The following is a 23,174-nucleotide window of genomic DNA, read 5'->3' on the forward strand; positions in this document are numbered from 1 at the left end:
AACCCAACCTTTTTCTCTGGCTGCCCTTAACATTTTTTCCTTCATTTCAACTTTGGTGAATCTGACAATTATGTGTCTTGGAGTTGCTCTTCTCGAGGAGTATCTTTATGGCGTTCTCTGTATTTCCTGAATCTGAACGTTGGCCTGCCTTGCTAGATTGGGGAAGTTCTCCTGGATAATATCCTGCAGTGTGTTTTCCAACTTGGTTCCATTCTCCCCATCACTTTCAGGTACACCAATCAGACGTAGATTTGGTCTTTTCACATAGTCCCATATTTCTTGGAGGCTTTGCTCATTTCTTTTTATTCTTTTTTCTCTAAACTTCCCTTCTCTCTTCATTTCATTCATTTCATCTTCCATTGCTGATACCCTTTCTTCCAGTTGATCGTATCGGCTCCTGAGGCTTCTGCATTCTTCACGTAGTTCTCGAGCCTTGGTTTTCAGCTCCATCAGCTCCTTTAATCACTTCTCTGTATTAGTTATTCTAGTTATACATTCTTCTAAATTTTTTTCAAAGTTTTCAACTTCTTTGCCTTTGGATTGAATGTCCTCCCGTAGCTCAGAGTAATTTGATCGTCTGAAGCCTTCTTCTCTCAGCTCGTCAAAGTCATTCTCCATCCAGCTTTGTTCTGTTGCTGATGAGGAACTGCGTTCCTTTGGAGGAGGAGAGACGCTCTGCGTTTTAGAGTTTCCAGTTTTTCTGTTCCGTTTTTTCTCCATCTTTGTGGTTTTATCTACTTTTGGTCTTTGATGATGGTGATGTACAGATGGGTTTTCGGTGTGGATGTCCTTTCTGTTTGTTAGTTTTCCTTCTAACAGACAGGACCCTCAGCTGCAGGTCTGTTGGAATACCCTGCCATGTGAGGTGTCAGTGTGCCCCTGCTGGGGGGTGCCTCCCAGTTAGGCTGCTCGGGGGTCAGGGGTCAGGGACCCACTTGAGGAGGCAGTCTGCCGGTTCTCAGATCTCCAGCTGCGTGCTGGGAGAACCACTGCTCTCTTCAAAGCTGTCAGACAGGGACATTTAAGTCTGCAGAGGTTACTGCTGTCTTTTTGTTTGTCTGTGCCCTGCCCCCAGAGGTGGAGCCTACAGGGGCAGGCAGGCCTCCTTGAGCTGTGGTGGGCTCCACCCAGTTCGAGCTTCCCGGCTGCTTTGTTTGCCTAAGCAAGCCTGGGCAATGGTGGGCACCCTCCCCCAGCCTCGCTGCCGCCTTGCAGTTTGATCTCAGACTGCTGTGCTAGCAATCAGCGAGACTCCGTGGGCGTAGGACCCTCCGAGCCAGGTGTGGGATATAGTCTCGTGGTGCGCCGTTTTTTAAGCCGGTCTGAAAAGCGCAATATTTGGGTGGGAGTGACCTGATTTTCCAGGTGCGTCCGTCACCCCTTTCTTTGACTGGGAGAGGGAACTCCCTGACCCCTTGCGCTTCCCAGGTGAGGCAATGCCTCGCCCTGCTTTGGCTCGCACACGGTGCGCGCACCCACTGACCTGCGCCCACTGTCTGGCACTCCCTAGTGAGATGAACCCGGTACCTCAGATGGAAATGCAGAAATCACCCGTCTTCTGCCTCGCTCACGCTGGGAGCTGTAGACCGGAGCTGTTCCTATTCGGCCATCTTGGCTCCTCCCCTCACTTTATTATTATGACTATTTAATTCGTAAAATTTACTCAATTTAGAAACTAAGTTAAAACCAAAATGGCACACTTGAGTTATTCCCAGTTAAGCTCTCATTCACTGAGTCAGTTAACATCCTCTTCGGTAACAAGCACATTCTAAGTTTTCAGTATATCAGCTGGTTTTTAGCAGATTGTGAAAGTTTTGACACGTTAGTGGCTATCTCCATTCTTCACCAACCTTTTCTAAAAAGTACTTTATCTGTGCACAATAATTTTTTATTTATTTATTTTTTTGAGGCGGAGTCTCATCTCTGTCACCCAGGCTGGAGTGCAGTGGCTTGATCTTGGCTCACTGCAACCTCCACCTCCCGGGTTCCATCGATTCTCCTGTCCCAGCCTCCCAAGTAGCTGAGATTACAGGAATTTGCCACCATGCATGGCTAATTTTTGTATTTTTAGTAGAGACAGGGTTTCACCCCATGTTGGCCAGGCTAGTCTCGAACTCCTGACCTAAGGTGATCCACCCACCTCGGCCTCCCAAAGTGCTGCAATTACAGGCGTGAGCCACCGCGCCCCGCCTCAATAATTTTTTAATAATTTTTTCAATACCCTGAAATCTGGCTTTATTTGCCACTGAAATTACCCCCAACTATCAGAGATTTGATAATAAGTTTCATAACTTCATTATTTTTTTCTTTTTTGTTTTTCTATTTTTTTTAGCTGGTGTCTCGCTTTGTGGCTAGGCTAGAGTGCAGTGGCGCATGGCATGATCATAGCTCACTGCAGCCTTGACCTCCTAGGCTCAAGTGATCCTCCCCTGCCTCAGCCTCCCTAGTAGCTGGGACTACAGGCATGTGCCACCAGAACCAGATAATTTTTTTATTTAAAAAAATTTTTGTAGGTCGGGTGCAGTGGCTCACATCTGTAATCCCAGCACTTTGGGAGGCCAAGGCGGGTGGATCACCTGAGGTCAGGAGTTTGAGACCAGCCTGACCAACATGGTGAAACCCCGTCTCTACTAAAAATACAAAATTAGCTGGGTGAGGTGGTGCATGTCTGTAATCCCAACTACTCGGGAGGCTGAGGCAGGAGAATTGCTTGAACCCAGAAGGTGGAGGTTTTGGTGAGCCGAGATCGCGCCATTGCACTCCAGCCTGGGCAACAAGAGCGAAACTCCATCTCAAAAAAAAAAAAAAATTTTTTTTTGGTAGAGATGGGGTCTCACCGTGTTGCCCAGGCTGGTCTCAAACTCCTCACCTCAAGTGATACTCCCACCTCGGCCTCCCAAAGTGCTGGGAATACAGGTACAAGCCACTGCATCTGGCCAAGTTTCATAACTTTAGTCCTCATCACCTTCTAACTCTCTTCGTGGTTTTTAATGATCGACTTCCCTTTAAAGCTTCTCTTTCTTGACTTCTGTGACATTTTTTCCTCTATTGCTTATGTCCTGCCTCACCGTACTTTTTAAAATATTTCCCACTTTTTAAATGCAGATGTCTAAAGGTCTTATCCTTACCCTTTTTCTTTTGCTTTGTCCTTTCTCAGTAGTTGACTTCACCTATATTCATGTTTCCAAATGTCATCCCTGGGCCAGTACCTTTTAAATCTCTATTTTTGGCTTCCTCGTCTCTTCTCAGTTCCAGACCTGAATTCCCAACTGGTCGTCTGTACTAGAATGTTCAAAACTGAAGCCATTATCTTTGATTAGTTTCCCTTCTTTGTTCCTTCCCTCCCCAACAACCTGTTCTCATGTGGTGGTTGGTTCTGTTAATATGACCACCATCCTTCTAGTCATTCTAACTTTACATTACTCTTTTATTTCTACCTAAATATCTGAATAGCTACTCATATATCTTTTCCTGTTTCCATTTTTATCCTTCTGTATTAACTCATTTCACTGCTCTTTTGTCATCTTAGAGCACTAATTGAATCATACTACTTTCCTTGTTTAAACACTTTTACTGTATCTCCACTGATCTATAAGATGAGGTTCAAATTTACAGTGACACTAAACGTCCTATATATTCTGACTGAGAGTTAGCTCTTTAAGATCATCTTTTTTCTTTTTACCCACCACAGGTATGTATTCTGGGTTCTGGCCACATAGGACTGCTTCAGATTCCCTAGGCATTCTCAATACACATGGGCTTTTGTTCACATAGGGCATAAACCTGGAATATCTTGCTCTGTTTTTCCACCTTCATTTCTACCTTCTGTATGTAGAAATCCCATTTATCCTAAGGGACCAATAAGATATTAACTCTTGGCAATCTTTTTCTTCATTCACTAATCAGAATTCATTAGCATTTTTGTTTGTGATAAACAGTACTTTTTGTACTTCTGATATTTGGATGTATGTTCTTATGTTTTCAGTAAGTTGTTGGTATGTGTCATCTTTACTAGATTGGAACCTCTTAGATGGCAAGATTGTATCTTACTCACCTTGGTATCACCATAGCAGGTTGTTTTGTACATAACTGCAGGCTGAGTGAGTGACTGATTGTTGAGCAAATGACTGATATGAGACATACTAGAGAAACTCTTTCTTGACTTTCAGGTGGAGCATGTCAAAGTGAAAAATAATCTTAGATGTGGGTAATTTTTTTTTATCCTGAAGGGAAAACCATACCCACTTGAGAGAAAATCGTTTAGTAATGAAATTAGAGAATTACTAAATATCATTGCACAGCCACAGGACTATAAGCAGTATAATCACAACTATTGGTTTTGATAAATACAAAGTTGGTAAATGCCATTGTCCAAGTTAACAAGTCACAGTATCAAGTGTACTTGGTTGTGAATGTCAGGTCTGAACTCCGTGCTGTTGGTTAATATCATAACCATAGTTGTGTTAGTGAGCAAGATATTTGTGTTTATTTTTAAGATTTTATTAATAGTAAATCACTTTTATTAATTTCTTATATTTATAGAGAATGATAAGAGAAAATGAAGTATCTTAATGAAAGGAAATGACCATTTTATCCTTTTTGCTGCATTTCACAAAATGAATATTAGGTTATTTATAACAAAAACATGTATTAGGTTGTTAAGAGATTAATTAGTATATAAAAACCACACAAGAAGATTTAGCAGTTATTTCACAGATAGAGGGTTTACTTTTTCAGGAAAGAAAATGCATACCCGTAACTAGAACACATTCTGTCTGGAAGGATACCTTTACCAGTGACTGTGCTGGGTAGTGGAAAATGGCACCAGCTTTGAAGTTGTCTTAACCTGGATTCAAATTCCATATGCTCTCATCATTAACTCTGAACCTCAGCTTCCTTGTTGGATGAGATTTTTATTATGATTCAAAAGAAGAATGCAGGAGCAATAACATAAACTTTGATTTGAGCCAAACTTCAGTTCGCTCTGACTCATAAAATCATGGAACCAGTGAGATAATAGACTAGGTGTTATGTTTCTCATCTTGCTTGGACAGGTTTAAGCTATTAAAGAAATTTGAAGCTGGTCATAGTAGCTCACTTCTGTAATCCCAACTACTTGGGAGGCTAAGGTGGGAGGATTGCTTTGGTCCAGGATTTTGAGGCTGCAGATCACACCACTGCACTCCAGCCTGGGTGACAGAGCAAGACTCGATCTCTAGGAAAAAAAAAAAAAGAAAAGAAATTTGAGGTGTGACATCTTAAAGCATTCTATCTCTGTATCTTGTGACTTTGCCCATTTGTTTTTTTCCATTTTCACTTGCACTTCCTTTCTTCTAAAGTATAGTCATAATTCACCAGTCTGTTATGTAATGAAGGTAGAAAGATGGGAGTGGGCTTGTTTACAATGCATCTTGAAATATATTTGGAGACTTGACCTAGGCCCTTGACTGCCCAGAACCTTTTCTGAAAGGAAAAATAAGTAATTCAGATAAATTGAGCAAAATTAGCTAAATATCGTTTAATTGTACATGTGCATATGGCTCTCTTTTTAGGTAGCCCAAGATTGGCTATGCTGTTTACCAAAGCCTTTTAAGTTTACATTTCAAGCAGAAGGATTTATAAATCAGATTGGTGGAAAATCTAGTTTAATTTTATGTGCGAAACAGACTCTAACTGCCTCAAGGAATGAAGTTTTTGGCTTGTTATGACCCCCTTGGCACCCACCTGCCAACTGGTCTCTCTAGTAACAATGCTTAACCAAGAAAGCTCCCTAGTTTCTCATAAAGCTGTTGTGTTCATTGGATTGTTCTGGTTACTTTTATTTCTGTAAAATTTAAAGCCTATTTTCTTTTCCTGTTGTCTTCAGATATTTGCATGTTAACATGTTTCCTCATTTTGATTGATATTTAATATAGCACAACAGGAAGCTTCCATTCATTTCATTTTTTAAAAAAATTCTCCTTACAACATTCCTATTTTGTCTGTGTTTGACGTGTTCTTTCTAACTCTGAAGAGTAGAGAATAACATAGGAAAAATTCAAGGTAGAAAATAGTGTCTAGAACATGAATTCACAGGATGAGAAGGAAGTAAAAGCGAGTGAATTAGAAAGAGAACTAGTAATAGAGGAAAGATAATTATCAGTTCATTTTTTCCTCTTAAAGGCCTTTAGGTTTTTTCCCTCCCACTTTAATCAGAGTAGTGCCACCGAAGAGTCAAAAACTTATTTAAACAAATCTTTTGTAATTAATTTTTAAAGGTAGGAATTGTAGAGAAGTATTCATTCAGATATATGTATTAGGAACTAGATGAGCTAGGGATAGAGCTAATGAGATAATACATTGGGTGTGACTTAAAATAAGAAGAGAAAAAAATACATTTAAAAGCAGAATATCATTAGCAGTGCATATAACAGTTGGATAGAAATAGCCTTGGAGTAGCCACTAAAAGCTAGAAAGTTTCATAGTGGTAGATAGGCTCCCTGAAAGAAACTGTATGCAGAATATGAGAAAAGAGAAAATTTGGCCTCTTCTAATAAGGCTTGGCATCACTGATACAGTATAGAGTTACAGTAAAAGATGAGCTTTTATAACTAAATGTGTTACTGCAGTTGATAAGTTAAAATTAGCTGGGTACCATGGCTCATGACTGTAATCCTAGCACTTTAACAGAAAGATTGCTTGAGGTCAGGTGTTTGAGACCAGCCTGGGCAACATAATGAGACCCCATCTTTACAAAAAATAAAAAAACTAGCCAGGCATGTTGGTGTGTGCCTGTAGTCCCAGCTACTTGGGAGGCAGAGGTGGGAGGATCACTTGAGCCCAGGAGTTTGATTCTACATATAGCTATGACTATATAGTCTACACTAGCTACGATTATGCTACTGCACTCCAGCCTGGGTGACAGAGCGAGCAAGACCCTGCCTCTAAAAATAAAGAAATGAATTAATAAATAAATAAGAATTTTTTTTAACTTTCCCAAGAAAAATTAATTTTGCAGAATCTCATGTACCCATGTAAAAGGCTGGATTATATGTTTTCCACATTAGAAAGAATGAATCATATATCAAAGGTATATGGTATCAGTTCCCATCAGGGAATAAGAGAATAGGTTCAAAATTTCATTAGCAGAAATCTACCTCCCTCATAATTATCCCTCATAAGTGAGAATAATAAGTGGATTTTCAAAAGAAATGTTTTTAGACTCTAAGAAGTCACCTTTTAGTATGTATGTGTCTTTCAAAATTTATTGTATACTATTTACATTTTATTTATAATAATGCTCTGCTATTTCAGAATTGATTATTGTACTAAAAGTTTATGTCTCAGAAAATATCTAATTAATTTTTTATTTTATTTTATTTATTTTTGAGATGGAGTTTCACTCTTGTTGCCCAGGCTGGAGTGCAATGGCACAATCTCGGCTCACCACAACCTCCGCCTCCAAAGTTCAGGCAATTCTCCTGCCTCAGCCTCCCAAGTAGCTGGGATTACAGGCATGTGCCACCATGCCCGGCTAATTTTGTATTTTTAGTAGAGATGGGGTTTCTCCATGTTGGTCAGGCTGGTCTCGAACTCCCGACCTCAGGTGATCTGCCCGCCTCGGCCTCCCAAAGTGCTGGGATTACAGGGGTGAGCCACCACTCCTGGCCAATTTTGTTTTCCTTTCTATAACCCCCTTTTTCTCCCATTTTACCTATGTTATCTTCTCTTACCGACTTTTTATCACGTTTTAAGTGATGATTCGTTCTTTCTGGAGACAATCAAAAATAGCATTATCCCTATGGTTTAAACCATGCTACAATATAAATATTGAAAGGCTCTTAATAAAGGACAAGTTTCATATAGTAATATTGTCCAGGTAAATAGAACAATCTCATTCTAACTTAGCATTTCTTTTCTATTTTGAATGAAATTTAAAATCATCAAACTCTTAAAACATTTCAGTATGTGTGTATATACAAATTTAGTTGCTCCCATGGAGGTCCTCTTAAGTAGCTTTTTAAAACTATAGTATTTCCTAATATTCATTTAGATTATAAGTAACATTCTTCAGGCTATAAAGTATTTTTAAATTAGAATCTTAGATAACAGAAAATTATTAATTTACCAGGGAGAATATAATTAATAAAATACAGTTTATTTTATTTTTATTTTATTTATTTATATTTCGAGAAAGGGTCTTACTCTGTCACCCAGGCTGGAGTGCAGTGGCATGATCTTGGCTCACTGCAGCCTCAACCTCTTGAGTTCAAGCAATCCTCCCACTTCAGCCTCCTGAGTAGCTGGGACTACAGGCACATACCATCACACCTAGCTAATAATTTTTTGTGTTTTTTTAATAGAGACAGTATTTCTCCACATTACCCAGGCTAGTCTCAAATTCCTGGGCTCAAGCAATCTACCTGCATCAGCCTTCCAAAGTTCTGGGATTACAGACATGAGCCACTGTGCCCAGCCACAGTTCATTGTTGAATCAGAAAGCATAATTGGCAGAAAGACAACCTTGTTAGTTCTTGTACCTAGAAAAACAGTATAGAAATGGCCAGTCCCAAGAATGACCTTATTTAGAGAAAAGGTCTTTGTAGGTATAATTAAAAATCTCAAGATAAGAACATCCTGGATATCTAGGTGGGTCCTAATCCAATGACAAATTTCCTCATAAGAGACAGAAAAAGGGAAGACATAGACATGGAGGAGAAGGCCTTGTGAAGACAGAGACAATGATTGGAGTAAAGCAGACACAAGCCAGGGAATGCCAGGAGCCACCAGAAATAGGAAGAGGCAAGCAGGTCTTCTCCCCTGCAGACTTCCAAGGAAGGGTGGCTCTGCCTATGCCTTGATTTTGGACTTCTGACTTCCAGAAAATTATGAGAGCATAAATTTCCTTTGTTTTTTAAGTTACTCTGTTTGTGGTAATTTCTTATGGTAGCACTAGGGAAATGATACATCTGGTTATTTTTTCTGCTATACAGACTATCTCATCTCCTATCACGTTTTTGGTGTACAGTACCATGAATCTGCTCTTTTTAATTGTGAGTCTCTTATTCCTATTTCTTTTTAAATTTTTTTTATTTTTAATTTGTATGGGTACATAGTAGGTGTATATATTTATGGGGTACATGAGATATTTTGATACAGGCATATAATGTGTAATAATCACATCAGGGTAAGTGGTATCTATCACCTCAAGCATTAATCATTTCTTTGTATTATGAATATTCCAATCGTTATTCTAAAAGGTACAACAAATTGTTGCTGACTGTAGTTACTTTGTTGTGCTATCAAATATTAGATCTTACTTATTCTGTAATTCTTATTTCTTAGTATCACCAATTGCCATCTCAAATTCATCTCTTTATGTTTTTAGAATAAAAATAAAGAATAGTTATAAATGTAAAGAAACAATAAGTGATGTAACTAGGTAGACATAATGATGACAAAACAGTGACAATGTTAAGTTCTGGATATATATTATCTCATTTATTCCTGGCAGTAGTCCTGTGAAACAAGTATTATTAGTACCCTTATTTTATAGAGAAGAGTACTGATGCCAAATAAGTGGCAGAACCAGAATTCAAACCCAGGTCTGTATGACTTTAAATCCACCTTACCATGGTATTTTCCTACTGCTTTATACAAATCACAATTACCAGTAGGGTATTTCGGGTTATGAGTGACTTATAAATACTAACAGGCAGCTGTGAGACCTTGTCTCTCTTCTCTTCCTCTCCCCAGCTATATTTGTTCCCTGATTCAGAGCCCCGCAGAGTGATTGACTTAGCAAATTGCCTAACCTAGGGAGTACAGCCTTTCATTCCTCAAATATATATTTTTTAATTCCTATTATGTGCCACACACTGTTCTGGCCTGTTGAACAAAGCATTCAAAAATAGCCGGCAGTACAGTTAAAAGCCTCTGCCTTCAGGGAACTTACATTCTGGTGGGACTAGACTGGCAAAGCAAACACCTTTACAATATACCGCATGGTGATAAATGCAATGGAGAAAAAAGGTAAGGTAAAAGATGTAGGGAGTGCTGTGGGTGGAGAAGGAAGCAAAGGAATGTTACTTTTATATGAGATCATCAGAGAAGACCTCACTGATTAAGGAACATTTGGTGAAGATCTGAAAGAAAATGTCCCAGAACTGACATTTGAGTTCCTTGAATTTCCAGTTTAATAGGCCTGTGAATTTCCAATTTAATAGGCCTGTGAAGTGCTCAGCATTGTAAATAAATACAACCCCCTTGAAGGCACATCTTCAGGAAATTTCAGAACATCCACAATGGGAGAGACCCTTCTAAAAGTTTTCAGGGATTTAAAGCAGAAACAAAAAATACTCTCTAAAGGATTTGAATGAGAGCAGCATCTGACTTCTTGATAGTAATATTAGAGGCTGAGACGCTGGAGCAGTGCCCTTAAAATTCCAAGTGAACGTGATGTCTAAATATCATTCCAAGTGAACATGATGTCTAAACTGAAATTATATTCCAAGCTAATGTATCTGTCAAGTATAAGAAGGGGTAAATTAAGGACCCAGACTGAAGTTCCAGCTATTCAGGAGGATCGCTTAAGCCCAGGAATTGGGGGTTGCAGTGAACTATGATCACACCACTGTGCTCCAGCCTGGGTGACAGAGCGAGATCCTGTCTCTTAAAAAAAAAAGGACAAGAGAAAGACAAAGGTTATCCCCAGAATCTTGGTGAAAGGAAGTCTCTGGATGGCAGCTATGTAGCTGACTGAGTGAGCATCCAGTCCAAACTGGGGTAAAAGGATGGAAGGCTCTGGTATATATTAGTATTATAAGTTAATAATAAGTATACATTCAGTAAATTTTGGTTAATTATATTGTTGACTAAGTTGCTTTAATCAGAGCCATTAGTAGGGGTAGGGGGAAGGATAAATATTATTGAATGCTCAAGTTAAGGCACTAGTTTATTACAGTTCCACTGTGTTACAGCAGTGTTATCAGATGACTAGTAAGACCTGCACAAATCTTTTCTCAAAATTGTTTGATTCGATAAATTTGGAAGATTGGGCTAATGCTAGATCATAATATGAGTAACATAAGTAATGTATTATTTTGTCTTAATGGTTCTGCTTGTAATATATATCTAAGATTCTGCAAGCTACTGTCCTGCATACCTGAGAAATTATTTCACTAAAGTATTCTATTTATATCTCTCCTTGGGTGATTTATGATGTCTGCATTTTTTTACCAAGGTGTCTATGATTACAACATAGAGTATGTAGTGTCTTATTTCTAATACATATTCTCTGTGGATGGAACAAAAGACTGAACAGTGAACAGTACTCTTGGTAAAGTGGAGTTCTTTTTGACAAAGTTATAGACTTTTTCACATAATTGTAGTTGCAGTGGGCTGTAGTCTGGGTCATGAAATAACAGATTAAAAATGTTCTCTGGTAAAAGAATTAAACATTTCTGTAAATGGAAGGAAAAGAAAAAGATTTCAGAGAGTCTGATCAATAATAGCTTGTGGGTCCTAGTGAGTGGAGCAGTGTATAAAGAGGTAAGGTTTTTGAGGGAAAAAAATACTATGTCAAATGGGGGGTGAATGATAAAAATCGCTCTCATTTTCCTTTTTTTCACCTTTCATCTTCATTTATGGAATTTCTATACAATAAATATGTTTGGCATTTAATAACAGTGCCTCTCCCCCGGAATACTGTTTTTATTTTATCTTACTTAACAAAATATTATGTAGTGGTTTGTGCCAAGTACTGTTCTAAGCACTTTGCAAATATTTATTCACATAACCCTATAAGGTGGGTACTGTTATTATGCCTCTTTGTTTGTTTGCCAGCAATTAATGAAACTGAGACAGTGCTTGTCCAAGACACCATAAGTAGTAAATGGCATAGCTGGAATTTGGCCCTAAAGTCAGTCCTCTTAACCACTGTGCTCTTCTGTCTGCTAATGTAGTACCTTAGAAGTGGTGAGCAAAAGAGGCAGAGTTCTGTTTTATTTTTTATTTTTGTTTTTTAAGACGGGGTTTTGCTCTGTCACCCAGGCCAAGATACAGTGCTGCAAACTGCAGCCTCAACCTCCTAGGCTCAAGCAAATCCACCCGCCTCAGCCTCCTGAGTAGCTGGGAGCACAGGTGCGCAGCACCACACGTGACTAAGAGGCAGCGTTCTATACTCCCGTGTCCTATGACATTGTCAGTGGTTGAATCCCTATGCCCTTATAAAAATAAATTTATTTGTCAAGTTGTCTATTTTACTGTTATTTAGTGGAGGAAAAATGTGTAGTAATCTATTTAAAAACATAAAAAGAGACTATATGGGGTTTTTGTTGCTATTAGCAATCATAGGACAAACTGTGATGAGTGAAATAATCATGTTTCTTAGAGATGTAACTTCATGCATCTTTTTTTTTTTTTTTTTTTTTGAGACAGATTCTCGCACTGTCATCCAGGCTGGCATGCAGTGGCGTGATCTCGGCTCACTGCAACCTCCGCCTCCTGGGTTCAAGTGATTCTCTTGCCTCAGCCTCCCGAATAGCTAGGATTATGGGCGCCCACCACCACGCCTGGCTAATTTTTTTGTACTTTTAGTAAAGACGGGGTTTCACTATGTTGGCCAGCCTGGTCTCAAACTCCTGACCTCATGATCCGCCTGCCTCGGCCTCCCAAAGTGCTGGGATTACAGGCATGAGCCACCATGCCCAGCCACTTCATGCATCATTTAAAGAATTTCAATACAAAGAACATTTTTGGCATTTAATAGCATTCAATAAATATTGAGTTCAGTTAAATGTCAAAAAGAGTGTACAATATACTTTCAGCATTATTCAATTGATTATATTCTCATTAATTTCAGTTTACATGTATAGATATGTAAAATTTAAAACGTGTCATAAAAATTTTAGTAAATTTTAAATGTTTTTTGGATTATGATTTTAATTATGCAATAAATGATGGTATAGGATAAAGCATAGCCCACTAGTAATAGAATTTTTCTAATTCAAGCCTAGATTTTCTCTACAGAAAAACCTATGTTCTCGGCCGGGCACAGTGACTCACGCCTGTAATCCTAGCACTTTGGGAGGCCGAGGCGGGCAGATCACCTGAGGGTCAGGAGTTCAAGACCAGCCTGGCCAACATGGTAAAACCTCGTCTCTACTAAAATCACACAAAAAAATTAGCCAGGGGTGGTGGCAGGCACTTGTATCCCAGCTACTCAGGAGGCTGAGGCAGGACAATCGCTTGAACCCGGGAGGCAGAAGTTGCAGTGAGCCGAGATTGCACCACTGCACTCCAGCCTAGGCAATAAAGAACAACAAAACAAAACAAAAAACCTGTATTCTCAAAATCAATGTTGTGGCCTGACACTTTGCCAGTCAGATGGAAACCATTCTTTATTTCCTTGTATGAGGGAGAAAAAATTGTCTCCAATTCTTTTTTTTTTTTTTTTGAGACGGAGTCTCACTCTGCCGCCCAGGCTGGAGTGCGGTGGCGCGATCTTGGCTCACTGCAAGCTCCACCTCCCGGGTTCACGCCATTCTCCTGCCTCAGCCTCCCAAATAGCTGGGACTACAGGTGCCCGCCACCACGCCCAGCTAATTCTTTTTTGTATTTTTAGTAGAGACGGGGTTTCACCGTGGTCTCGATCTCCTGACCTCGTGATCTGCCTGCCTCAGCCTCCCAAAGTGCTGGGATTACAGGCGTGAGCCACTGCGCCTGGCCAAATTGTCTCCAATTCTTATACAAAGATATTCCTGTCTAATTTCTCTGTGTGGCCTTGAGAAATGTAATAGTGGCTGTTTGAATCTGCCTTTAGTCACTAATGAATATTTCCTTATCAGATTTATTTATTTATTAATTTTTTTTTGAGACGGAGTCTCGCTCTATCGCCCAGGCTGGAGTGCAGTGGCACGATCTGGGCTCACTGCAAGCTCCGCCTCCCGGGTTCACGCCATTCTCCTGCCTCAGCCTCCCGAGTAGCTGGGACTACAGGCGCCCGCCACCGCTCCCGGCTAATTTTTTGTATTTTTAGTAGAGATGGGGTTTCACGTGTTAGCCAGGATGGTCTCGATCTCCTGACCTTGTGACCCGCCCGTCTCGGCCTCCCAAAGTGCTGGGATTACAGGCGTAAGCCACCGCGCCCGGCCAGATTTATTAATATCTCTTTTATTCTCTGAATTTTGTCATCCATAAAATATCCCTCAAATATTAGACTTTACTGAGGTGAAGCTATTTTTCACCTATTTTTGTTTTTTGTCAATATGACATTTTAACCCATTTATGCCTAGTGTTCCATTATTGGAACACTAAACTTTTGGGAGTTATTTATATCCTATTGCTCAAGGTCATCACCAAAGTCTGATTTTTTTGCAAAACAAAAAAATTGCAACCTCTGGCATAAATGGGTTAAGACCAGCATGTTAGATACATTATTTAGTTTTAAATGAGTTCAAAAACCCAAGCCATATGCTGAGTTTACTTTACCCATGGGGCACATTTACCTGTTGATAGTAACTACTGTTGAAGATAAGTTACAAAATAGTGTATAATCATAATAGTAAATAATCATAATTCTTGACTATACTAAAAAACAAATTATCTTTTCTTAGAATTACTTCTCTACTCACTGAAACAAACTTCTCCTAGAGGATTTTTCAGTTTTTCATTAGTAGTAATTTATTTTGTCTGTAGTTTCAGCAGTAATAAATTTAGATATCATGTTTTATTGCCAAGAGAAAATATGTTAACCCTTGTGGTAGACAGAAAAACTTGGCTTGTTTTTAAAGCAACAGTAAATCAGTCTTTGAATGTAGTATTTGTGTTTTTGAACTACATTGTGTTTTCTTTGTGGGATCATTGTTTTGGAATTGATCATGAATTGATTATAGGCCTTGCGTAATTCCATGCTTTTTATAACATTGCTTTTGCCTTTTCTGGGTATAATACCTAATTCATTTCTTATCGTGTTGAATTTTTTTAATACTAGTAATAATTTTTTACTGCATGTGCAGAAATTTAGAGGGAATTTTTAACCTCTTGAAAGTTATTTTTCTTATTTAATGAGATTTTCAAAAACTAAAAATGATTATTTATTGGTTTGTTTCTCATGTCCACAATGTTTTATACTTGGTAAAAAATCATTCATTTATTGCAACTTTTTTTTCTTTTTTTTTTTTGAGATGGAGTTTTGCTCTTGTCACCCAGGCCGGAGTGCAGTGGCACTATCTCGGGTCACTGCAACCTCCACCTCCTGGGTTCAAGCCATTCTCCTGCCTCAGCCTCCCAAGTAGCTGGGATTACAGGCATGCGCCACCACGCCTTGCTAATTTTTGTATTTTTAATAGATAGAATCAGGGGTTCACCATGTTGGCCAGGCTGGTCTCGAACTCCTGACCTCAGGTGATCTGCCTGCCTCAGCCTCCCAGAGTGCTGGGATTACAGGCATGAGCCACTGCACCCGGCCACAACTTTTAAAAGATAAAAAAATGCATGTCATTACATAGGAACTTTAAAAAATAATCTTTCTAAAAAAATAGGCAGGCCGGATGGGGGATGGACCCATGAGGTCAAGAGATGAAGACCATCCTGGCCAACATGGTGAAATCCCTTCTTTACTGAAAATACAAAAATTAGCTGGATGTGGTGCTGTGCACCTGTAGTCCCAGCTACTAGGGAGGCTGAGGCAGGAGAATCGCTTGAACCCGGGAGGGAGAGTTGCAGTGAGCTGAGATTGCGCCACTGCACTACAGTGTGGTGACAGAGTGAGACTCTGTCTAAAATTTAAAAAAAAAATGTATTTTAAAATATAATATTTGAAATAAAAATGTAATATAACCAGTATCATAAAATATAACAAGATTGTCCTTTTGGAGCCTGAAAAATAATTGAATAAAAGAGTTTTGTTTTTGTCACTATCACTATCCTAATGGATCAGAAGTAATAAGTAGAAGTACCACAGATCAATTTTTTTTTCCTTAAGAACTTAAATTTTCCTTTGGGGAATTTATTTTCTTTTAAAAAATAATCAGGACCATAATTTTCAAAGGTTTGGATAAAGGATAATATTCTACAGAAAAAAAATATAGCATATCTACAAACCAAAGACTATATATTTGTAATACTGGTTTTTCTTCTCTTTCTTCCTTTATATAAAATATAGGGTCTGATTAAATTCATTGGCCTATTTAATATTAAATATGTTTAAAAATAGAGGAGGAAAATAAGTAGCCGCTGAACTGAGGAAAGGGGCCCCTCATTTTCTCTTGAATTTGATTTCTTCCAAACAACACAAAATTTGGGGCCAGACTGCTGATACTGAGAATATGTTCCTCTCCTTTCCTTACTCAATCTATTCCCTTCTCCCTTAAAACACACACACACTCTCAGACACACACACTGATCTTCCTCTCCCTGGCCCCTCCGTATTCTCGGACACAGATGTTTGGAAACTGCTCACACATTACACACAATGATCATTTTCAAGTCAGGAGCTGCCTCTCAGATTCTGAGTGATACAGGCTCTCCAGTTGCTGAAACAAATGAAAAAGCACATAAGTGGAATGTCCTTTTGAAAATTCAGTACATCGTTCCAATAAATATATACATTGTTGCATCTGGATTAATACACACTGAGGAAAAGAGCAATAGCTTCTGATAAACCTAATTTGGAACAATATGCAAGCTCCTTTATAAAATTAATACTATTATAGAAAATTTGGAAAGTATAGAAAGCTATGAAGAGGAAAAAAAAAAACCCAAAATGCCAATTAAAGATAAATTTGGAGTAGTTTAGTATACCATAGTGGTTAAGGGAAAGCACTCCAAGAGCCAGCTAAAGCATGAATTCTGGCTCTACCACTTTGTGACCTTGGGCAAGTTACTCACTTAACTTGTGTCTCCATTTCCTCATCTGTAAAATGGGCAAAATAGTATAATTTACTTCGTAGGTTTTTATATTTTAGAAGTCTGTTTTCCTAGGAAATCGCTGTTGTAATTTTCCTTTTTCTTCCTTTTTTTTTTTAATGCTTGATAACAGTCTTTAGAGTTCTACTGGATTTTGGTGTGCTTCAGTTAGTTGTAAGGAAATAATGGAAATTGGAAATTGGATGAAGTTAACTGCCTGCAGTAGTATTTTGAATTATATAATACATATGTATGTCTTTGTATCAGTGGTAAGCCAAAGACTGATTGTACCATAAGATCTATGCTTTTTCTAAATAGATTTTATAGAAACAGTAGCCCATAGTTGCAAATATTCTTTAAAACGAAGGCAAAACCAAATGCCTAATGATCGTTATTTCTACTGAAACTGAGTGTTATCTGCATTATATGAGAAAAATGGACTAATGCTTTAGTTGTGACAGCACATTAGCTTAATAGGAAATCTGTAAGCCTAACATAATTATGTGTGTGTATGTATATGTATAATTATGTATGTGTATATATAAAAATATATGTATGTATGTATAACTAAATAAATATATAAATATATTTTTAAATCCACTAAAGAAAATGAATTTGTTTAAACTCCCTTTTTAAATGAGGAGGTCCAATATTACAGGCACGTCCTTGGCTCTCTGAGCATATTCAGAGATAGTACCCAGTAATATCCAACACTATCCGAAAATACTTTTAGTTGCTTTTCATTGTTTATTCATGAATTTTTTTGTAGAAATAAAAGTGTTGGTTTTGTTCTTTTAGTATAATCTTACTCATATGATGAAATAAAAGTAGGAAAGATTTCCTTGTATTTTCCCATTTAGATTTTGCTTATTATTATTATTTTTTTGAACTGTGGTCTTGTTCACATGAAAGCCTTAGTTTCTCAACTCAATATCAGGGGACTGATATTTGATTTTGCCTACTCCCTATAATACTTCCTCCTAGCCAATTGCCATTCCAGAAAAAAAAAATGCAGTCTACTAAGTCATCTTAGTGGGAAGAGCAAGGTAAAGCTCTAATGCTTAGCCAGAAGTTCTAAAAATATTTTGTGACTATCATAATTGTTACTTGTTTGACATGGCCCTTTCTAAACACTTGTAAGTACTTTGCTAACCATATGAATTAACAAGTCTTCTGATCTTCATAATGCCTCCCTTTATCAGAGAGCAGAAGTATGTATGTATGTGTATCTGTGTATTGTGCTGGCATCCCATCATACAAAAATGAAATTAAATAAAGTTTTAATGGTATTTCTGAATAAGTGGGTGACTTTGGTGTTTGTCATTCAAATGATAAACAATGGTTTTCTTTTTAAATATGAACTCTCAAAAGAATGCAGTGGGAAGACCCACATATCAGAATGCCAATCTTTTTTATGGGTAAACATGAAAAGACACTGTGTTTATGGTTAGAAGAAGCTGAGTATATGATCATCTGCTGTTCAAAAGAGGAAGCACATGTAAGCTCAAGAGCCAGCACACTTACAGCCTGGTATAACCTCAGTTGGTTTGCTTTGAGATGTGTTTTCTGCTTGGAAGAGGAGAACATAGGTATCCAGAGGGTGGCTTGTTGTTCATTAATTTATTTGATAAGCAATAAAATTGATATGCAAGTAATTTTTTTTTTTTGAGACGGAGTTTTGCTCTTATTGCCCAGGCTGGAGTGCAGTGGCGCAATCTCAGCTCACTGCAATCTCCTTCTCCCGGGTTCAAGCGATTCTCCTGCCTCAACCTCCCGAGTAGCCGAGATTATAGGCGCCTGCCACCACGCCTGGCTAATTTTTGTATTTTCAGTAGAGACAGGGTTTCACCATGTTGGCCAGGCTGTTCTTGAACTCCTCACCTCAGGTGATCCACCCACCTCGGCCTCCCAAAGTACTGGGATTACAGGCGTGAGCCACTGTGCCCAGCTGTGATTTTTAATTATATACAGCTAGCTTATTATTTTTGTGCTCACTGATTTTCAAAAAGATCATGCATTTATGGTTTCAGAATTTTTTTTTATTATTTATTTATTTATTTATTTTTGAGACAGAGTCTTGCTGTGTTACCCAGGCTGGAGTGCAGTGGCATGATCTCGGCTCACTGCAACATTTGCCTCCTGGGTTCAAGCGATTCTCTTGCCTCAGCCTCCCAAGTAGATGGGATTACAGGCATGTGCCACCACGCCTGGCTAATTTTTGTATTTTTAATAGAGATGGGGTTTTACCATGTTGGTCAGGCTAGTCTCGAACTCCTAACCTCAAGCAATCCACCAACCTCAGCCTCCCAAAGTGCTGGGATTACAGGCGTGAGCCACCGTGCCGGGCCTGGTTTCAGAATTTCTTAATGGCTAGCATATTGAATTGTATACCTGAACCAAAGTCAGAATCCCATAATATTACTTTTATATGGGATGGAGGGAAAATACATTATCTACATTCTTCAAAATTCAGCAAGTATACTATTTGGTTGATTCATAACTAAGAAAAAAAATCTCACAGCCTTTTAGAAACACTATATTTGTTGATATTGAACTTTGAAACTATCATAGATGTAGCCTCCGGGAGTTTACTTTTCTCTGTTTTCAAACCATTTATTTATTCAACAGATACTTAGTAAGCACTTACTATGTGGCAGACAGTATACTTTTAGCGTTGCAGATATAGCAGCGAACAAGGCAGTTATAGTCTCTGCCACCACTCAGATTCTGAGTGATACAGTTTTCTCCGGTTGCTGAAACAAATGAAAAAAGCACATAAGTGGAATGTCCTTTTGAAAATTCAGTATATTGTTCCAATAAATATATACATGGTAAGGGTGGGGTGGCAGCAGGGACTTTGTCTTATTTCCCACTTATCCCAGAGTTCAGGAAAATGCCTGACGTTAGTCAGTGCTTCATAAATGATGGATGGATGGATGAATATATTACACTCATCAAACCTTTTTAAAGTATTTAGACTTAAGAGGACTTTAGCATAACTTGAGGACAGGGGCCATAGCATATCTATTTTCTGATGCCAGCCTAGCACTGTGTATGTTATGTGCTGAAATAAGAACATTAAGGAATTCATCTCCATCTTGTGCAGTTTCAAGTGACTAACTGAAGCCAATAGAATTAAATACCAAGGAAAGATAGTCCTTTCATCATTTACACAGTTAGGACCTATTTCTAACAGGTGGGATCGTGGTCAATAGAAGTTGCTTCTAAGAGTAATTTCTACTTAACCTTCAATGTCTATGAACCCATAGCCATGTGCTATGGGAAACACAGCTTTTGGGATAGAGACTGAAGTGACTGGTAAAATTGTAATCTTTTCCTGCAGCATGAGTGAGTTCTCCAAGAAGCTGGAGAAGCACGAGTAAATGCTTCACTATTTAGCCATGAGCTCAAGCTAGAAAGTGGCCGAAATTCATGTCTCTGTAGTGAATCCCTCATTGGTTACGAATAGCCTCATAGAGTTTGATGGAGTTTTGAACTGTTGCATTAGATCACACAATTTGACCACTCAACTCAGCACCAAGCCTGTTCATTTTGGATAGGTGAGGCCACTTTAGCCATTTTATTTCTACAAATAGTCACTATGTTATAATTATTTGGTTTCACATTTCTCCCCTGTATAAAGAGTTGGGTAGGGTTGTCTTGACTAATCCATCTTATGTGGTCCTGGCCCAGCACCAAACTTAATAAATGTTTGTATTAGGTTGAACTGTATAAAAATGCTGTGTTTGTAAGTCAAAAAATAGTCAAATATCAGCAATGGTCAAGTGAATAATAAGAAAAATTCAAGCAGTGAATGACTGGTTGGACTAGATGATTTTAAAGATCTCTTCCGGTTCTGGGATTTCATGACCTTATAATTCAAACATAAATAACATCATCAGTCAGTTTCAATACTTAGCTACCAACTTATGAAACCATGGTGCTCATATTGTACACAAACCTGGCACCCTGTTCTTGTCTTTCTTGGAACTTATCACAGTGATTTAGCTATTTTTATACTAGATGACTATGTGCTCCTCATTTTAATGTGTATAATACATATCTAATGTGTAAGATATATAATACATATATACATAAATATAAATGGGTAGATAGATGATAGATACAGTGTATGTGTTTCCATCAGCTGTTAAAAGGTAGATGATAGATTAATACTGTGTCATTTTCATGTCTCTTCTGTTCTACTGCTTTAATGTGGCAGGTGGAGTCCACTGTGATTCAAACTATGAATTTTTTCATTGATCAATTCTGACATGCTAACCTCAGCAACTGAGCACCTGCATAATATGTTAGGTCATCATATTAATAATGAAGATTACATAGTTGACTTGCCTTTTTATTGGGGGAATATAGAAAAAAACCCTAGAAATATGACTGATTTTAAAACAAACTAAAATGATGATTGAGAACAGTAATACTATCTATAATTTCATTGCATCTAGTAGAAAATTAGCTTTGGAAAGCCACTCAGTTTATAAAATTGTTTTGATTATTCTTTATTTAAAAAATGAAGTTCTCAGTTTTAATCTCAACAGGAAATCTCTTGATTACAGCAGAGCAGATTTTTATCTGTCAATAAGTTAAAAAAATTTTGAGGAGGAAATCAGGCATCAGCTTCCAGGGGTCTAATAACTTCCTAACTTAATGGGACTTGCCTAACAGTAGATGAACTTTTCATTTTAAGACTTTGCCTTTAGTAGTCAACACTGTCCTCAGCACAGCTACAGACTATATAATACAGAGTCCATACAATACAGGGCATTTCTGTATGAATAAAGTATTAAATATTTTTTAAAAATAACTTTTAAAAAATGAAGTTCTAGCCTAAGACCTGAATTAAGGGCTTTAGGGAAATAAAAACTTTGTTCCTTTTCTAAATTTTAGATATTTCCGTTATGGTAAGTTAAACTGATCGGTTTAAGAAGGTAGTTTAAGATAGTAATGTATATGTGTTAACAGGCTTCTATCTCTGCGTCAGCTGTAAGATTTACCTGGTTTTTATACTCTGAAGAGTTTATATTTAAATTCAACATAATAAAACATTCAAAATAAGAATCTCTGAACTTAGTTTTATTTTAGACTGCTTTTGAAAAAATCACTTCTTAAAGTGCACAGATTCACACATCCACCCTCCCATCCTTTGTGATAGAAAAAATGAAATACTTAGCTTGGTAAATCACATTGCTTCTCCTGAAGTAGACTGCCTTCACCCAGTGCTGTGAAAGAAAGCCCAGTGAGTGAGTAAGGAAGGGTGGCTATTGTTTAGTGCTCTCTAGCAAAAGAATGGGATTGGGGGCGGGGTTGGGGCGAGGATTGAGTTTAACTGGCATTGGCTCTGGCTTTTCTGCATTCCAAACTGTCTGAGGCACGAAATGAGAGCAAAAAGGGAGAGAGCAGGAAAGCGAGCACAGGCGAGTACAGTATACAAAGTGTTTTGAGTTTCTGACTGGCGTGCCGGAAAGATCATGTTAGCACACCCAGAAACTTCACACGATGCAGACCCCAGGTAAGAGTTTGTAGAGTCTGAGACCGAAATGAAAAGTCACGTATTTAAGGGGAATGTGGCTTTTTAAAAATTACACAAATGCAGTGACTATTTACCTTTATGATTATTGGCTTTAAAAAAATAGGTTGGTTTTTATTGCTGTGAGTTCACAGAAATACTGTGTGGAAGCTGTCTGTTAGCATTCCAGTACAAAATCCAGCACAAGAATAGCCATCTAAGAAACTCAGATAAATTAAAAGAATAATGACCATAGCAAAATATTAACACTGCAGCATGTACTTGTTCTGTTAATAATATGAAATGGGTCCTTATTCTGGATCTTTCTTAAAATTCTTTATGAAATATAAAGATACCTGGGAACAGGTAAAGCTCATTTCTCTCTGAGTGAGACAGAATATATTGACCATCAACAAGATATTAACAGCCTTGCTTGAATCTCAGTAACACATAATCTGTGTCATTCAAAAGTTTAACAGGTTTGATCCATAGACAGCAGTAAGAGCATTCAAATGAGAACTTTGCTTGTTATTTTTGCCCAAGGTAGGCTTTTAATATCCTCTGCCAAGATGACAGGTAAGAAAGTTTATTGACTTATTGAAAGTTAAATCTGAAAGAGACTTGGAGATTATCTATAGTCTATTCTCTCCATTTTCAATGAAAATTTTGTGGTCTAAGGTACTTGCCCAAGGTCAGAATTAGGAACAGAATTGAAATGAAAACCCAGATCTCCTTATTGTCAGTTTAACGTGTTTTTCATAGA

The 23,174-nt window shown here is 38.0% G+C and overlaps 1 protein-coding gene and 1 long non-coding RNA gene across 15 annotated transcripts in view, besides 1 other annotated feature; one reads left to right on the forward strand and one right to left on the reverse strand.

The window, feature by feature from the left end:
- Positions 1–23,174, forward strand: part of RASAL2 (RAS protein activator like 2) — a 384,747-nt gene that overhangs the window by 225,091 nt on the left and 136,482 nt on the right. For 4 of the 13 annotated variants that reach the window (XM_005245622.5, NM_004841.5, NM_001438676.1 and 1 more), the window contains exon 1: positions 22,257–22,414. The exons of the other annotated variants lie outside the window; for them this stretch is intronic. In XM_005245622.5, coding sequence (XP_005245679.1) covers positions 22,402–22,414 — 13 coding nt within the window. In that variant the 5' untranslated portion in view covers positions 22,257–22,401. Of the gene's footprint in view, positions 1–22,256; positions 22,415–23,174 lie in introns of those variants that run through there. 13 annotated transcript variants of the gene reach the window in all.
- Positions 1,339–1,934: an enhancer, noted in NCBI's record as "H3K27ac-H3K4me1 hESC enhancer chr1:178289668-178290263 (GRCh37/hg19 assembly coordinates)". NCBI's record gives its function as "activates a minimal SCP1, AML or CMV promoter by ChIP-STARR-seq in naive H9 embryonic stem cells {active_cell/tissue: H9 hESC(naive)}" and the evidence as "EXISTENCE:reporter gene assay evidence [ECO:0000049][PMID:30033119]".
- LOC105371629 (uncharacterized) lies at positions 4,894–22,147 on the reverse strand. Of its 2 annotated transcripts, XR_922306.3 has the most exons (3): positions 19,535–22,147; positions 16,442–16,514; positions 4,894–5,215 (listed from the first exon to the last, which is right to left on the reverse strand). It is a non-coding gene; the product is annotated as an uncharacterized LOC105371629 (long non-coding RNA). The 2 variants fall into 2 exon arrangements; XR_007066746.1 differs by lacking the exon at positions 16,442–16,514.

Source organism: Homo sapiens, chromosome 1, assembly GCF_000001405.40.
Source record: "Homo sapiens chromosome 1, GRCh38.p14 Primary Assembly".
NCBI classification, from domain to species: Eukaryota; Metazoa; Chordata; class Mammalia; order Primates; family Hominidae; genus Homo; species Homo sapiens.